Source organism: Homo sapiens, chromosome X (assembly GCF_000001405.40).
Source record: "Homo sapiens chromosome X, GRCh38.p14 Primary Assembly".
Lineage (NCBI taxonomy): Eukaryota > Metazoa > Chordata > Mammalia > Primates > Hominidae > Homo > Homo sapiens.
Genome location: NC_000023.11, coordinates 150,500,666 through 150,517,348, shown reverse-complemented (window position 1 = coordinate 150,517,348; position 16,683 = coordinate 150,500,666). Strand labels below are relative to the sequence as shown.

Genomic DNA, 16,683 nt, shown 5'->3' with positions numbered 1-16,683 from the left:
CAGGAGCCACAGGCAGCTGAGTGACTTCTGCATCACAGTCTTCTCAGAGACAAACTTGCAGTAAGAAAGAGGGGCCCGTGAGGGACCCCAGAGAAGGCTGTTGTCAAAGCAGGATGAGAGTGAACTCTTCCATGGGGGACACCCAGCGTCTCCAAGCTCTTTTATGCTGTCTTCAAGGGGTCTAGAGAGCTTCAGCCCAACATGAGACCCAGTCCAGCAGCATTTCCCTGCGAAGTGAAAGTTAGGACCCTGACTAGATACACCACGCTGACCTCAGCCAGAATATCAAGATGCTGAGGCGCTGAGATGCTGGGATGCTAAGGTGCTAAGGTGCTGGGGTGCTGGGGTGCTAGGATGCTGAGGTTTTGTGATACTGGGTCGCTGAGATGCTGGGATACTGGGGTGCTGAAGTGCTGGGGTACTGGGGTGTTGCCATGCTGAAATGCTGGGGTGTTGGGATGCTGAGGTGCTGGGTTGCTGGGATGCTGGGATAGTCCTTGGATGCTGCGGTGCTGAGATGCTGGTCTGCTGGTCTGCTGGGGTGTTGGGATGCTGGGATTTTGGGATGCTGGAGTGCTGCAGTGCTGCAGTGCTGAGATGCTGGAGTGCTGGGGTGCTGGAATACTGTAGTACTGGTGTGCTGGAGCGTTGAGATGCTAGGGCACTGGGATGCTAAGGTGCTGAGATGCTGCAGTGCTGGGGTGTTGGGATGCCGAGGTGTTGGGATGCTTAAGTGCTGGGGTGTTGGGATGCTGGGGTGCTGGAACACTATGGTGCTGGGGTGCTGGAGTGTTGAGATACTGTAGTGGTGGGATGCTTAAGTGCTGGGGTGCTGGGTGTTGGGATGCCTAGGTGCTGGGGTGCCGAGATGCTGGAGTACTAGTGTGCTGGGATGCTGAAGTGCTGGGGTCCTGAGATGCTGCAGTGCTAGGGTGCTGAGATTCTGGGCTGCTGGAGTGTTGGGGTGCTGGGATGCTGGAGTGCTGAGATGCTTGGACAATGGGGTGCTGGAATACTATGGTGCTGGGGTGCTGGGGTATTGAGATGCTAGGGTACTGGGATGCTGAAGTGCTGAGATCCTGGAGTGCTGGGCTGCTGGGCCACAGGCTCTTGAATCCATTCGTCTGCCCAGGGGAAGAAACCAGAAGATAAAGAGCTAATGAAGGAGCTTTGGTTGAGAGGGAGGAAGTAATGGAAGGAGCAACATCTTGTGGAGGAGCAGGAGAGAATGGACCTCAGGTTGGGAGAGAGGGCCAGGCTACAGGCCAGAGAGGCAGAAGGATTCCAGCAGAGTGTGGGCTCCAGGAGCCAAGGGGAAACAGGTTTCTGGGAGGAGAGAGTCCAGTACTGCTGAAGTGGCAAGTCCGCTGAGGACCAGGAAGCTTCATTTGGCTTTATGACCAGGAGGAATTTGGAACTGTGACTAGAGTACTTAGGGGGAAGGAGGCAAGACTGGAGCCAGATTGCTCTGGGTTGAGGGGTGAGTGGGAGGTGAAGCAGGGCACTGTCACTCCTTTGAAGGGTGGCAGAGAGCTGGAATTGGTGCTGGATGGGCTGTGGGGTGACAGGGTCATGTGGAAAGCCCCTGGGGGGCACCTGGAAAAGGAGAAGCTGACAGTACAGTGAGAGGACAGCTAAGGGAAAGCAGAATGGCAGAACACGCACTGCCAGGAGGAATGAGGATAGGGTCAGGAGTGCCAGGGGCAGTGAGGCCAGCCTGGGGTCAGGTGGCAGGACGTGTCCAGGAAGCTGGTCTGCACTGCAGCCCACACTGGCTCAGCCTTGAGGTTCCCTGTGTGGTTGGGGTAGGAAGTTGAACCCTCTGGGAATGGAAGATGGAACCAGCTCTGCGAGCCAAGCTCAGCTTTTATCTGTGGGTCTCTGAGGGCTGGCAGAGCTGAGTGGGGACAACTGTGATCCGTGAGGCTCTCAGGTTGAGGTGGCCCCTCCGGGAGGGCTTCATTTTCCCAGCGGGTAGGTTCTAAGCAGCAGTGGCTGGGCAGGTGGGTCCAACACAGAGCCAGAGAAGGGTGAATGGGCCTCCTGGCACCCCACCCCTGCTGCCCCTGAGCTCAGTGATGGAGGGGGACAGCACAGCTGAGCCCAAGTGCTTTGGTGTGGCCCTGAGGGAAAGCTGCAGCCTGCCTGGGGCCTGGCATGGATGGGACACTTGAGGCAGAGGGACAATAGTGGGCGCTGCAGTGAGGCTGGCTCTTGGAGAGGTTTCCTGAGGAGTGCTGCCTGAGACGGGCAGGGAGAACAGAGACAAAGTTGGTGACAGGGAATGAAAGCTGACTGAAGGACTTTACCCAGACCTATGAGGATATCTCTCTCAGCAGGAAGCAGGAGGGGACTGTGTGAGGACTGGCCAAGAGCTGGAGTGTTGGGAAAATGACTCTTTCTCCGACCCCTCTGTCCTAGCTCTGGCCCCTGGACTGCGGAGGTCTGCTTCCACCCCCATTGGTCGATCGTTGTCCCTTGTCACAGCCATTGAGAATTTTGGCAGGGAGCATGTTCTTAGAGCATTTTTAGGCTCTGCGGGACATAACAGCTCTGCCTCAGAGCACATGCCTTTCTCAGCTCCTGAAAGCCACTGATCAAATTGGAACATTTTGTACCTTAGGGATGAGGATATCAACTCTCCCAGCCACTTAGAGGGATAAATGTGATGATGCATTCAATTGTGACTACATCTGATCCCAACTGTTGCTTCAGCTGCTCTCCTATAGCACATGGCGGGAGGCGTGCATCCCAGTAGCTACCTCCCCACTTTTGGGGAGATGTGGTTCCATCCATGAAACCTGGGTACCCGCCTACCAGGTCCTGGCCTATCAGGTGGCAGGGTCTGGTCAAAGAAGGGCATGTGTGGTCTTCAGCAAGGGAGACAGGACGGTGGTGCAGAGAGTCTAGACCCTCAGGGCAAGTCTCCCCCACACCTGCTCCCGAGGCAGTTGTCTTTGTGACCTCCCATCCCCCTCTGTTTCATCCTCTATAAAATGAGGGGCTGAGCCCCAAAATAACAGGCTTCTTTGCCATGATGCAAAACTGCTGAATCTTTCTTTCTGACACACAAGGCATCGAGCAGCCTCTGAAAGAACCAAAGCCACTAGCAGGCTTCCTGACTTGGGTTTGTAGGTACTGAATACTCCCTTGAAAAATAAAAACATAGAGGCACTTTTCTCCTGGCTGTTTATTACAGAACGAAGAAAAAACACACTGGCTTGAAACAGACGCCAGATTTCAAATGTAGAGGTGAAATACGAGGTGGCAATTAAAATGTGATTACAGAAAGTCTGGACACTGAGAAAAGTTTACAGGACAGTGGGTGTGGGTTTTCTATAACAGACACTTAAATATACATGACGATAATTGCAGATAGAAACCATCAAAGACAAACCCCAAATCAACTAATAATGTTTACAGATGTTCCCCCCCAAACCACAGAGCCTTACATCAAAACAAATACTGAAAGGCTTTAAACCAGGAACAGCTCGCCTTAACCCCACGAGGGTGCACACAAGCTGGGCTTTTTCTCTCGGTCTGAATGGTAAAGGGAGGAGGATACTCTAGCTCCTCCAGGTGGATTGCTGAGACAGGGCTCGGCTCACACACTGTCTCTGCGCCTCTCCCAAATCTGGAGAACTCTCCCAGCCTCCTGGTAAAGTGTCTCTGTGGGGCACTTAACGATAAAACGGCTTCTGCTGTAAAGCTCATTAGGAAAGAGCTAGCGGAGACTGAAAGGTTCGCAAAAGAGATTAAGAATCACACAAGGCAATAGGATTTTTAGTGAACATAGAAATAAATGGCCAAGTGGTTTTCTATTTGGCATTTGTCAACTTGCACAACAACTCTTGGTCATATCCACATTGCTCATTGCATTAAAACCATAAGCGACTCAGCCACCTAGCTTAACAAGGTATCACTGGAGCAAACAACACGGTCTGCATATTTGTAACATTGTATAATAAACACAAAACAATGCATAGTAAACACAACTCTACTGAAACAAAAGCCGTCGCTTTATTTACAAAGTCACAAAATGAAGTATAAATACTTCTGTCATTAATGTTTAGGAAAACCATTTACAAAATTTTCAAATATGTACACGTAGCTTGAAAAATCACCAGCTTTCCATTTTGTCACAGGTAGAGAGAGGGATAAGCATGGGCTGACAACACCACTCAAATTGTAACGGGAGACAACTGCGGGTATGGATCGACACCACTTCCTAGAGTGATGTCACCATGGGGGTTTCTATGGGCATCCTGCTCAGATTTAAAGTGCCCCAGCATCCTGGGTGACTTGCCCAGAATTCTGGGCTGTGGCATTTTGAGCAGCAGCATGCTGTTCCAAAATGTCGTCGATCAGCCTCAAGTTGCACACCCAGTCTTCATCTGGGCTCACACAGGAGCCTTTCAAGAGAGCTTCAATGAAATCTACCTCATTGCAGTCAGGTGACGAAATCAGATCATTTAGTGGGGGTTGGGGCTGGCGCAAAAAGTCGGCAGGTGGCAGCTCAGGGGGAATATCCGTTCTGTCGAACGGACCTGGGAACTGGCTGGCAGCAACGGCAGAAGCAGCAGCAGCGGTGGCAGCAGCAGCCACATAGCTTGGTGGCTCGATGCCCTGTATGGGGCTCAGGGGACTAAAGCTGGCCATACCCTGCTGGAGGAACTTGGTGGTGTTTGCTACAGGCACCGGGCCCTGTACCGGGCTCTGCCTGAGGCTCTGGCTGCCCAGCAGGCTGAAGCTGGGGTTGTTGGCCAGGGGCACTTGTGTTCCCATCGCAGCGGGCACTTGTGCCTCCCAATCAGATGGCCTCTGAAGGCAGGCCTGGCCAGAAGGTGAGTGCTGCTGAACGCTATTATCCACTTGGCTGAGGGGTGTTTTCCCCGAAACTGCTGTGGTCACAGCTGCTGCCGCTGTGACCCATGCAGCATTGTTGAACGCAGTGGGCATTCTTGGCACACTAGGCCGTCTGAGCTGGTGGGGACTCAAGGACTGGGTGCCCAGGGAGCTGGGACAGAACCCAGGCAGGGGCACTTCTGGTGGGGTGGCCTTGGGACTCTGCATATGCTGGCAGACAGAGTCAAGTCTGCCCAGGGGAGTCTGGCCTGAGTGTGAGAGGATGGGACACTGGGGGCTGGAGGTGAAAATTCCTTGCCGCTTCCCCAGAGTTGGTGAGATCACTCCCATGCCCTCGCAGCTCTGGTGCCTGGTGAGTGGGATCATTCCTGGACTCAGATTGTTCTGAAGAAGCCCAGTTCTGGGTGGCATCAAGTGCTTGCTAGATGGGGGGCTTGCCTTGATCCGGCTACACTTGGAGGTGACTTGTTCTTGGACGGCTACATACAGAAAGAGAGAAGTGGGGATGAGTTCCAAAGGCATCCTCGACTTGGGCTGTGGCCACCGGAGGGTAGCTCCTGGCCCAACACGGACTTCTCACCTCCCGCCCTTGGCTCTCTACTGAGCTCCCCCCTGCTCCCCAGTTCCTCGCCATTCCCCTCATTTCTCTGCCCTCAGCCTGGACTGCAGTTCTTCTGGGAAGCTGCCCCAACTCCCTAGGTCTGTGCTCACCAAGAGCAGATCACACTGGACTGAAATGCCAGCTGATTTGTCTCTTCAAGAAAATTGGAAGCTCCTGGAGGTCAGGGTCCATGTCTGCTTTTACACTCAGTGCTCTGTATGCAGGCCTGGCACTGCCCACCCTTTGACAGGTGGTGCATATTTTGTAGAAGGAAGGAAGGGGCCAGGTGGGGTGGGCTGGGCTGGTGGCGGGAGCTAGCTCAGCCTCTTAGATTCTCTACCCGATGGATGTGACCTGGGACAGCAAGTGAGTGTGGTGAGTGAGTGCAGACGGTGCTTTGTTCCCCTCTTGTCTCATAGCCTAGATGGCCTCTGAGCCCAGATCTGGGGCTCAGACAACATTTGTTCAACTGAACGGTAATGGGTTTCCTTTCTGAAGGCTGAAATCTGGGAGCTGACATTCTGGACTCCCTGAGTTCTGAAGAGCCTGGGGATGGAGAGACACGGAGCAGAAGATGGAAGGTAGAGTCCCAGGTGCCTAAGATGGGGAATACATCTCCCCTCATTGTCATGAGAGTCCACTCTAGCTGATATCTACTGTGGCCAATATCTACCGGTACTTTTTTGGGGTGGACACTGAGTCATGCAGCAGTCTTATGGTTTACCCAAGGTCAGGTAGGGGAGACAGTGCAGTCAGAGCACAAGCCCAGTGTGTCTGACCCACCCAAGAATCCATGCTCGTATCTACAAAAATGATTTTTTCTCTTGTAATGGTGCCTAGGTTCTTTTATTATCATGGCATGTGTATGTTTTTCAACTAGGTTACAATCTGGCCTTATAAGGTTAACCTCCTGGAGGCCACCAGCCTTCCTGAAACTTGTCTGTGCTGTCCCTGCAACTGGAGTGTGCCTGATGTGGCACTCCAGCCTGGACAAGTGGGACACAGACTCCGCTGTTATCAGGCCCAAAGATGTCTTCCATAAGACCAGAAGAGCAATGGTGTAGAGGTGTCATGGGCTACAATAAAGATGCTGACCTCCTGTCTGAGGGCAAGCAGCCTCTTCTGGCCCTCAGACAAATGCTGAGTGTTCCCAAGACTACCCTCGGCCTGGTCCAATCTCATCCCACTGGTGCGTAAGGGTTGCTGAACTCATGACTTCTTGGCTAGCCTGCAACCTCCACGGAGTGGGAACTACATCAGGCATTTTGCTAACTGCTGTATCCTAGGCCAATAAATGTTGATCACATTTATAGCTGCCATGGTAGGGTGGGGACCCCTGCTATCTATCTGTGGAGGCTCTGGGAGCCCCTGACACAAACTTTCTGAAGCAGAGCCTCCCCAACCCCTTTTCCATTCCCTATACCTGACAGATGGCCCAGGAACCCATTAGAAATGGAAGGTCACTGCAGCAGTATGTGAATGTGCGTGTGGGAGAAGGGCAGGATCAGAGCCCTGGGGGTGTGGCAGCCCCCAAGTGATTCTAATCCAGATCCTAGGGTTGTTTCCCTGTCCCATTGAAATAGCTGCTTTAAGGGGCCTGACTCAGGGAAATCAGTCTCTTGAATTAAGTGGTGATTTTGGAGTCATTTAGACCAGGCCTTCAATTGGGATCCTGCTCTTAGAGTTGGATGAATTATTTAACTGATTTTCAGATCTCCTCTTTCTCAATGCTTTCAGAAGCACAGTAACTGCTTACTCTGAAATGAATTCTCACCCCACTTCCACATATGCACCCCTTGCCCACCCCTTTGGGAACACTGGCCTTAACTGCTTACCTTCAAATGGACTCATCTGTTGGGAGATATATGCATTCTGCCGTTCAGGGGTCATTGCCATAAGACCTGATCTCTGTTCCTCTTGCTAAACAGAAGATGAAAAAGACAAATTAGATTACAGCTACCAATTAATAATTAGCCTTAGGATCGCTGCGTGGGGACCTAGGACTTGGCTTTGGTGCAGCAGAAAGCATGAATAAACACACCAGCATACACTCGCATGCATGCCCCACCCTCTCGAGCAAAATTCCACAGGTATAAATAAAGTAAGATTCTGCACCTGGGTTAAAAACACAACTGCAACAGCATAGAATGGGGCAGGAGAGACAGAACTTAATAGCAAGAGCACACAGAAAAAAGTTTTAGGCATTTTGGATGTCCATCTGCTCAGGATGGGTCAGCAGTGAGATGCGGTCACCAAAAGAACAAATGTAACATTAGGCTGCATTAATAGAAGCAGAGTATGTAGAAGGAGGGAGGTGACAGTCCTATGCTAACTCTGCCTTGGCCAGACTATACCCACAGGAGTCTGGGCATGCCAGTCTCAGGGAGACCCAGACAGACTGGCTGCATTCAGAGGATGGTAAGTAATGAGAGTGGGGATTGGACTTCAAACTACCCAGACAAAGAATGGCTGAGCAAGCCAAGGATGCTGTGGCTGGGGCAGAGCAGACTGTGGGCTATGTAGTGGTGGATACCTAGCCTCTGCAGGGCTGTCATAGGGAAAGGACATTGAGAAGAGGACTGAGGCTTGTTCCTGGTGGTCCTGGCATGAACGGCCAGATGATCACATGGTCAGGTGGACACAGTCTCCAACACTGGGAGTAGCCAAACACTTACTGCCAACCTCCCGCCCTTCTCCTGACTAGTTGCAGCATAGGCAATTGGGAGGAGCTTCCTGTCTCCATCTGAAAGCTGGCTGGGTGGGCAGGGGGAGGAGCGAGCCAAGTTTCAAGGCCGCAGTTTCAGCACTCAGTCTGGGATCGGCTCAAGGAGCAAAGGGGAAGAACATAGCCAGGAGGGAATAACATGAAGGCCCCCAGACCCAGAAAAGGCATGACTTGCTCTGAGACCCTCAGCCAGTTGGTGTCAGGTTGTGACTCGGATCCAGGTCTGACTCCCAGTCCAGTGCTTGAAGCCTCACCCCACACAGTGAGGGGAGCCCGGCCATCTCTGCTCAACTGCTGCCATCTCTCTCCCCTTCTCAACCACCAAGGCAGCTCTGTCTGGGAGCACAAGCTCCAAGTCCACTTTCTGGTCTGTGTCCCCCCGAAGATGCCAGAGGACTTGCCTCTACAACACGGGCTGCCCGTGCAGTGCCTGCTTTTCCAGCAAAGGGCTTCTGGGAACCCTTCTCTGCACTCAGTGGGGCTGGTGGGAGTGGGGCGGGGTAGCGACCCAGTGCTTGGGACTGTGCCCGGCTCTCAGGCCTGGCAGCAGTTCCTGGCCTTGGTTCCTGCCAAGGCAGAGAGGACAAACACATGGCACCGGGAAGACTACACCAGAAGCGATTCCACCAGACTGGGGTTTGCTTTTCTATCCCGCCCTTAGCCTGCTTCCTGTCCTGGTCCCTGCCTCCCCCTCCACTGGAGCTGCCGTGTGGGCAGTGAGGGGCTGTTTCTCAGCTGCCCTATGGAGCTGCCCTCTCCCTGCCAAAGCATTGGCAAGGCGGCAAGGGGTGGGGGTGGGGATGGGGGGTGGGATCTGCCTTCTCAAGCTCTCATTATACTGAGCACGTCTCACCCATTATTTTATGTCATCTAGCAACACCCCATGTGGACACTGAGGAGCATGGGGGTCACATGACCACTGCCCAAGGCCACACCATCCGGATCTGCCTGAGATGGTCAGGGTTGGCAGCCATTTCTGAAGGCAGTCCTTTCGCTTTGGCTCTTCTTGTACCAGTCTCAGGACATCAGGGCAGAAGATCTACAGTCCCCAGCTTACTGATGTGACAGCAGAGGCTCAGAGAGGTTAAATGACTTGCCCAAGGTGACACGGCTAAGAAGTACAGTATCTCCTAACTGCAGACCAGGTGCTTCCGCTGCTTCTGGGGACAGATTCCTGCGTGGCTGGCTAGGTCTAAACGGTCCTTAACTCCATCCCCACCGGTTGCTGCATTAGTTTCATCAAATAACACAGTTGTACAGAGGTAGGGGTTCAGGGGCAGGGGCAGATGGAGGCTGGAGAGTGTGACTAAGGAAACAGCAGGGGAAGTGCGGTAAAGTCCGAAGGGAGGGACGGAAAGAGAAAGCCAAGCCCAGGGGCGTGCCAGACAAAAGGAAAGGCCACGCCGGGGCAGGGCAGGCTTCAGCGGGTGCTGGGGCGTCTTCATCCCGGGAAGCACACATTCCAGAGGACCCCGGAGTCTAATGGAAAAGCTGGCCAGCCTATCACTATGGAAACTGCCAAGGCCACACAGCGCTGCTGACACCCAGCCTGGGTGCCGGTGGCCAGCTCTGCAGGATCTTCAAGTCTGGGGTGCCACCAGCAAGCGACGGTCCTCCATGGTCTCTTCACCTTACGGCAGTGTCCAGAGGCACCGCCAGTCCTCTGCTCCTATGCTGGTCCTGCTGTCCCTGGCCAAAGGAGCCAGAGCATTCTCTCCAGGCCTCCCGAGGAGGCTGCTTCCTTTGTTTTGCAGATGGAGGCTCCCATCCTTTGTTCTGAATCAATGTGCTCCAAAGATAAGCCCCAAGAAAACAGTTGTTGCCTTTTGACACTGACAATTAGAATCGTTGGAAAATGGAGAAAACAGGAAATGACAAATGGTTTCAGTGACCAGGAGGAAACCGTGCCTGAAAGTTGCTGCTTAGTGACTGGGACACTCGCTTTCTGCTCTCTTATGAAGGACAGCCTAGGCCGTGTGGCCTTTTATAAACAAAGCTATGAAGGGGTCGTCAAATTTTCTAGGGCTGCAACTGTGGCACTACGTCCTGTTGTGCCAGGTGACACTGACAAGCAGCACTGAGTTCTATGCAAGCCCAGGTGTGCTTCTCTCATGGTGACCCCCAGAGAACTAAGGCCCAGCTCTTCCTCTGTCACACCCCTCCCAGCCCCCACTGTCAGACAAGGGACCACATTCACAGACAGTCTCAGCCAAGATGGCAACCTTGGAAGTCCTGGGGATGCCTTTCTAGAAGCTTTAGGCTGACGCCAGGGAGCTGTAAAGCCCCCACCTGTCCCTGGGGGTTGTGTGCTGGGCAGGAGAGAGGGGAAAGAGCCCAAACTCCACCACTGCCTGCTGGCACAACTGAGCCCACGCCAGGCACTGCACCAGCTTCACTCACCAGCTACCACATGCTAATGTCTCCTGTTTACCCAGGTGCAATCACCTGAGTGCTGCTTTCTCACCACTGCATGGGAAGAATGATCTCATTACCAATTCAACCACTTAAGCAGGCAAAAGGACTCCAACGGGGGAAAGGCAGAGGACAAACGATTCGGGGACTGAGACAGATGCCCACAAAATGTTCCTGGATTTTAGCCGGATTCGGGCTGAAGTTCCTTGCCCTATGAGCCCTTGGAGGAGAGCATCCTGACTCAGACAAGAATTCAAATGACAAGACTTCTGGGGGATGGCAGTGAATGGATCCAAAGCCTTGTTTTATAAAGAATGTGGAGGAAGGGAGGAAGGAAGGGAGGGAAGGGGAGACTGAGAGGGAGAGAGAATAAAGAAGAGGAAGAGAAGGAAGAGGAGGAGGAGGAAGGGGAGGGGAGAGGAAAAAGGGGAGGGTAGAGGAGGAGGGAGAAGGGGAAGGGAGGACAGAAGAGGGGAGGGAGCGGGGAGATTATCTACCCCTCCATGCTAGGGAACTCCTGTCTCCTTTTCCAGCAGACACTGCTCCATGAGTGCCCCCACAGAGAGCCAGCCTGCCACACAGCAGAAGGTGCTCAGCTATCTGTCCCAAAGGTTGAGCACTAGTGTATTCCACAAGGAAAAAAACCTTCTTTTGTACTGTTTGGAAGCCAGAATTAGAAACAACTCGTTCACCCTTCTGACTTTCCCTTTGCAATGACAGGAAGATAGTATACTGCATGGGACCACCACACATTCAAGATCTGAGTTGTGGGGACCCCCACCCCCACATGGGTGGAGCCCCCTGAGACCCGTGGGCTCTGACTGGCCATGGCCCATAGATAGTGACAACATACACACTGCTATCTGAAGCCTAGTTGGAGGACGGATGGATGCTTTTAGGAAAAAATTCCCTTTAGTCGTCCCTCAGAAACTACAACGGCTTCCTAAAATGAATGGCAGGCAAGTTTTGATTGTTTCCTAAGTTCCCCCTAACTCTCAGAGCCTGTGACTCAGCTTCTCCAGAATGCCTGCAGGGAGGCAGGACCACTGGGAGTAATGAGCACGAATTGGGCCACTTCTCCCAGTGGACTGTTAACGCCGAGATCTGGGGTGGAACCCACTGAACACCTGCCCTTTTGCGTTGCCCAGAATGCAGCCAGAGGGATACGGGCCACAGTAACTCTGGGGCCCCTGAACCTACCTTCCCAAGACCCTGACGGGAAGGTATTGCTTACATGACAGTCCAGTCAGTCCCTCTGTCACTCAGTTAACAAACATGGTCATGGGTCTACTATGGGCCAGGCTCTGTTCCGGGCATGGGGATAACACCGTGTGTCTCTACTCTTATGGACACAAGTAAATCAATCAAAGCAGATAATGTTCTAATGACCACCCAGTAGGGTGAAGGGATGGAGGGTGGGCAGGTGCTGGCAGAAACCTAAGGTCAAGTCATGGGACCCCAATGGGGAACTGGAAACTGCCACACCATTTTCTATGTTAGGGGTCTTTCCTTGCCCTTCTAGAGACCTCACCCATGGTAATGATGCTGCCCTCAGGTTTGAACTGGTCTGAAGCTGTCACTGGGGGCTTCACAAAATGAATGCCACTGAAAGCAAACGGCAGAGATCTGTATATGAAATTCTTTTTACCCTTTGTTTTCTGTCTTCCCACATGATCTATGACTGCTGCAAACTCTATTCTGACTCCTCCTCAGTCTTGGCCGGTCTGGGAAGAACTTGGTTTAGATGCTGGGAATGATCCCGGGCAAAGGAAACAAATATATTTCCAGCTTGCTTTTCTTCTTCCCCTGTGGTGCCTGCATCCTCTGTCTCGCACTGACTCACAGGCTGGACTGACAAAGTGGCTGTGTTGACAGGGAGGATTTAGTGGATGCCAGGCCTGACCCTCAAAGGCCCTCAGGTGGGGCCAATTTCCAAGGTTCTTAGAGAAGATTTGGGGCCACAAATCTGCTCTGCCACTTCACTGCTGGGTGAAAGCTGTTGGCTTGAGAAGAGAGAGAATAGGTGAGGGACAATAATTCTCAAGGCAAGCTAGCTGATATCCTTTCATCTGTGGCTTCCAAAGACAGGGAAAGGCAAGGCAGACCAGGGTGGAAACAGCGACATCCTGAGGGGACGACGTCCGTTTTGCTAATTCTGTTTCCCTGGCAGCTTTGTGCTGGACAAGATTTCTCTGGTTTCAGCTGAAGAGTGAACAGCTGAGGAGCTCTGTGACTCTGAGAGAGAGAGAAATCAATAGCCCTTGAAAGGAAAGCACTGCTTGTTCTTCCAGGCCAGGGCAGGCAGGATAAAGAGAACAAGGCTGTACATACCAAAGCCGAATTTCCATTAAAGGCCAGAATCCTGGGAGGCCCTTTCAGCTTAATGACCATCTTCTGATCACTATCACTTAGAAAATGTTCATGTCTCCAGTTTTCTCTGCAGATAGTGCAGACATCCTGTGCACATTGATATTTTATGCACCAGATGCAATTCTCTGCAAAGGTCCCCTCTGGCTGGTGTCCATCCGCTTGCTCTCATGACCACTGATGCGACTCTGGGGGCAAGTCAAGCCATTCCTTCTAGACTCTAGAATCTAGAGGATGATCCCAACTCACAGGCCTCTTGGACAAGCTTGCTTTGGATTCCTTCTGCCTGTACTACCCAGACTGCCAGTCCTCCAGCAGGGCAATCCAACTTCCTGCCTCTAGGGTGTGGGAGTCCTGGGCGGGGTTTGGAATCCACAGCAGATGGCTGGCAGGAGAGGCAGTTCCCGAGCACCCACTAGGTGCCAAGCAGGCAGGTATCAGGTGCAGGGCTTCGGAGGTGCAGAAGCACAGCCCCTGTCCCCCTCAGGTTCCCAGTCTGGCCTCAGGGACAGACAGGCAGGTAGGTATGGAAACGGGGTACTGGAAGGCATACAGCTGAGGGAGAGAGCAGCTGCACCCTGGTCAATCCCCCACTCATTTCCCTGGAGGTGGGGCTGAGGCACCTGGAGCACTCTGCTTGCTTGGGTTGTCCCTTTGCCAAAGAATGCCGGGCAGAAAGTAGAGAACAAGCAGGCCCAGGAAGCACTAGAAGTCCCTCATGGGTGGACAGAGCTTTACCTTCGGAGCTGTCACCTCCTGTGTTCCTCCCAACAACCCTGTGAGGCAGGCGGGCAGGCTGAGCAGGGGACTGTGCCCCGTTGACAGATGAGGAAAGCGAGGCTCAGGGGGAAGTGACTTACCTGTGGCGTCGCAGCTAGGCAGTAGTGGAGCGGGCACCTGCCTCCAGGCCTTCGGATCCCAGCTGCCCCAGGGCGCTGCCTCTGAGGTGCTGTACGAGGAGGTGACTCGGGCCAGCTCATGAGCAAAGGAGCTGCCGGGCAGGAAGGACTCACTCCCCAGGGCCTGGCAGGACGGGGGCTGTCGCCCGAGGCTGACCTGGGGGTGCCTGGCTTCCCCAAGCTTGCAGGCTTTGTCTACATGAGTCTACAACAACCGATTGAACAATCCATCAGCTGCTTGGCCACAAAATGGTTCTGACTGATCTTGTCACTGCCCTGAGTGTCTAGCTGGGTCATCTGGGTGTTGTGGTTATACCCACCAACTGCTTTGGTGGAACGAAACCAAACAGCTTTGTGATCTTAGCTTGTCTTGGGTCATAGACTTCTTTGAGAACCAGTTATAAGCTATGGTTTCTCTCCACAGAAAAAGCACTTATGGTGTCTCCCCCTTTCCAGCCCACCAACATTTTACATCTAATTTGGGGGGGTTTTCTGGACCACTTAATACCCATCCATGGATCTCATGTGAAGACTCCCCTGGCTTGAGAAATCACTGTCTTGTTGAAAATGGGAACAAAGCTAAGTCAGATAGCTGGTTCATCAGCAATGACTTTGACCAAGCCTGATCCCACCCTACCCCACCCCACCCCAGTGACCACCCCCCACAATGGAGCACACAACTCTAAACTGGTTTGTAGGTATGTGTGTGTGAACACGCTGAGGAATCTGCAAAACCAAATGGTGAGTGCAAAACCAAACAGTCACGAGTAAATCTCACAACAACCACGTCCTGAGCTGCAGCCCTTGTTGAACTATACCCCACTAGGGCCCCAAGATTTTAGGACTTGTGTGTGGGTGGGACCTCCCCTTTCTATCATGCTTTAGAAGACAGGGATTTCACCAGAATTGAACATATTGAACATATGACCCATTTTTTTCAGCCAAAGGCAATTAAAATAACTTCATACTTGATATCCATGTCAGCAAAAGCTGCAAAACGCAAATGGGTGGCTGCTAAGAGCCCTGGTACCCTGACGAGCACACCAAGTGCTTAGCAACAGTGGTGTCCAAAGGACCAGCTGGAAGCCTGCCTTGATGAGAAGTTGCTCTTCTTTCTACATGAAGGAACACCTCTACTCTCCTGCTTTTAATACCTGAGCTGTGAGTGATCATCTATGTCCATTAGCAAACATCCCAGTGGAGAAGGAAACACTCATACCCGAAATCTAAGCTACATAGTTGGAATCACTTCAACTTATTGCAATAAACACTTACTAAGCACCTATTGTGGGCAAGTCTTTGCAATGGATAATAGTTCAGTAGATATTTTGATGTAATATTTGAAATAACAATAAAAATTGCCACCACTGAATTTATTGAGCATTTGCTGTGCTTTAGGCACTAACCCAGGTTCTTTAAATATTTGGTCTTATTCGATCTGTATAAATAGCCATCTATGAGAAAGGGACTATTATTGCCCTTATTTTACAAATGAGGCCAATGAGGCCCAGAGAGGTTAACTAAGTTGCCCAAAATCATACAGCCCACTAGTGGCAGAGCAGGATGCAAACCCAGGCTTGCCTCGTTCCCAAGCCCACATGTCGTTTGCATTGGTGTGGAGGTGTGCATGTGTTTAGTCATTAGCATGTTATATGATAAGCAAGTTTTGAAACATAGAAACTTAAAATGTGCCATTAAGAAAAGTACAGGCAAGGTTTTCCAAGGGGAGGTGTGGACCTCCGGACAAATTTTTAAGAACAAATTATAAATACTTAAAAATGGGAATAAGAAGACAACCTAACTACCTGAACAGTTTTAGAGATGACTCATGCCCACCCTCTAAAACCCAAACAAAAACAACAAAGTCAAGAAAACCCATGAAATCTTAGCAAGCGATTTCTATGTACTTGTGAAAAGGATTTCTTTACCATTCTAATGGGATTTATGCCAACCATAGAGGGCTCAGTGCCCCTCCCATGGGGTGGTTAGTGAGTACAGAGCTGAGCTCACCGGCCATCTGCAGCTTCATGTTATCAAGCTCCAGTTTGTCCTTGGAGCAAGGTTATCTGGGACATGAGCAGAGGCATTGCTTTCTACAATGGACAGTTCTTTCTGCCTGCATACCTAGCTCCTTGATAACTTTAAATACCATTTTATAGCCACACTGGAGTTTTGAAGACCTCAATATGCAAATATTACTCAGGTTCTGATTACTTGTCTGCTCCATGATAACACACTCTAAAAGCAATGAATGGGGCTTATTTGTAGAGAACTGAAGCATTTTAAGCTTTTGCTCAGGAATCCCTGGTAGCTTCCTGTGACTTGCAAGATATTAGTGATGGGTCAAGAAACAGGACCCCCCATCAGCATAACATACGCAGTGCCTCAGTAGTCCATCAGGCAGAAAAAACTGCAGATGGCACATGGAAATGACCAGCGGCGGAAGATACCCCGACAGTGTGGGCAGTTCTATTTCAGCAGCAATCAAGAGGGGGCCTGGAGCCACTCAATCAAGTGGAGCAGGATGGGAGCAAGCACTGTGCAGACCAATGCAATCCCCAGTTAACACAAAAAATAAATAAAAGAGATGAGATTCAGTCTCTTGACTGTGACTGACTGGGAGCTTTATAGCTGATGCTTGTGTCTTTTCTCCATTTTATTTAATTAGGAAAAGAAACTGCTTATCACACACTCTAAGTGTGAGGTACAACCTCCACAGGAAAGGTTGTTAGGAACATTTCAACTTCTAGAAGTTTCTAAACATAAGGTAAATCCATCTTTGTCCTTGGGATCACTGCACATCTCAGAAAGGC

General features: G+C 51.6%; 1 protein-coding gene across 11 annotated transcripts in view; it reads right to left on the bottom strand.

Annotated features, from left to right (window-relative positions):
* MAMLD1 (mastermind like domain containing 1) overlaps positions 3,176 to 16,683 on the bottom strand; it is a 152,602-nt gene continuing 139,094 nt past the window's right edge. For 6 of the 11 annotated variants that reach the window (XM_047441709.1, XM_024452317.2, XM_011531092.4 and 3 more), the window contains 2 exons: positions 7,303 to 7,387; positions 3,176 to 5,345 (listed from right to left, as the gene is read on the bottom strand). In XM_047441709.1, coding sequence (XP_047297665.1) covers positions 4,276 to 5,345; positions 7,303 to 7,387 — 1,155 coding nt within the window. In that variant the 3' untranslated portion in view covers positions 3,176 to 4,275. Of the gene's footprint in view, positions 5,346 to 7,302; positions 7,388 to 13,831; positions 14,076 to 16,683 lie in introns of all 11 variants that reach the window. The other 5 variants (NM_001400515.1, NM_001400513.1, NM_001177466.3 and 2 more) reach the window with 1 other exon arrangement.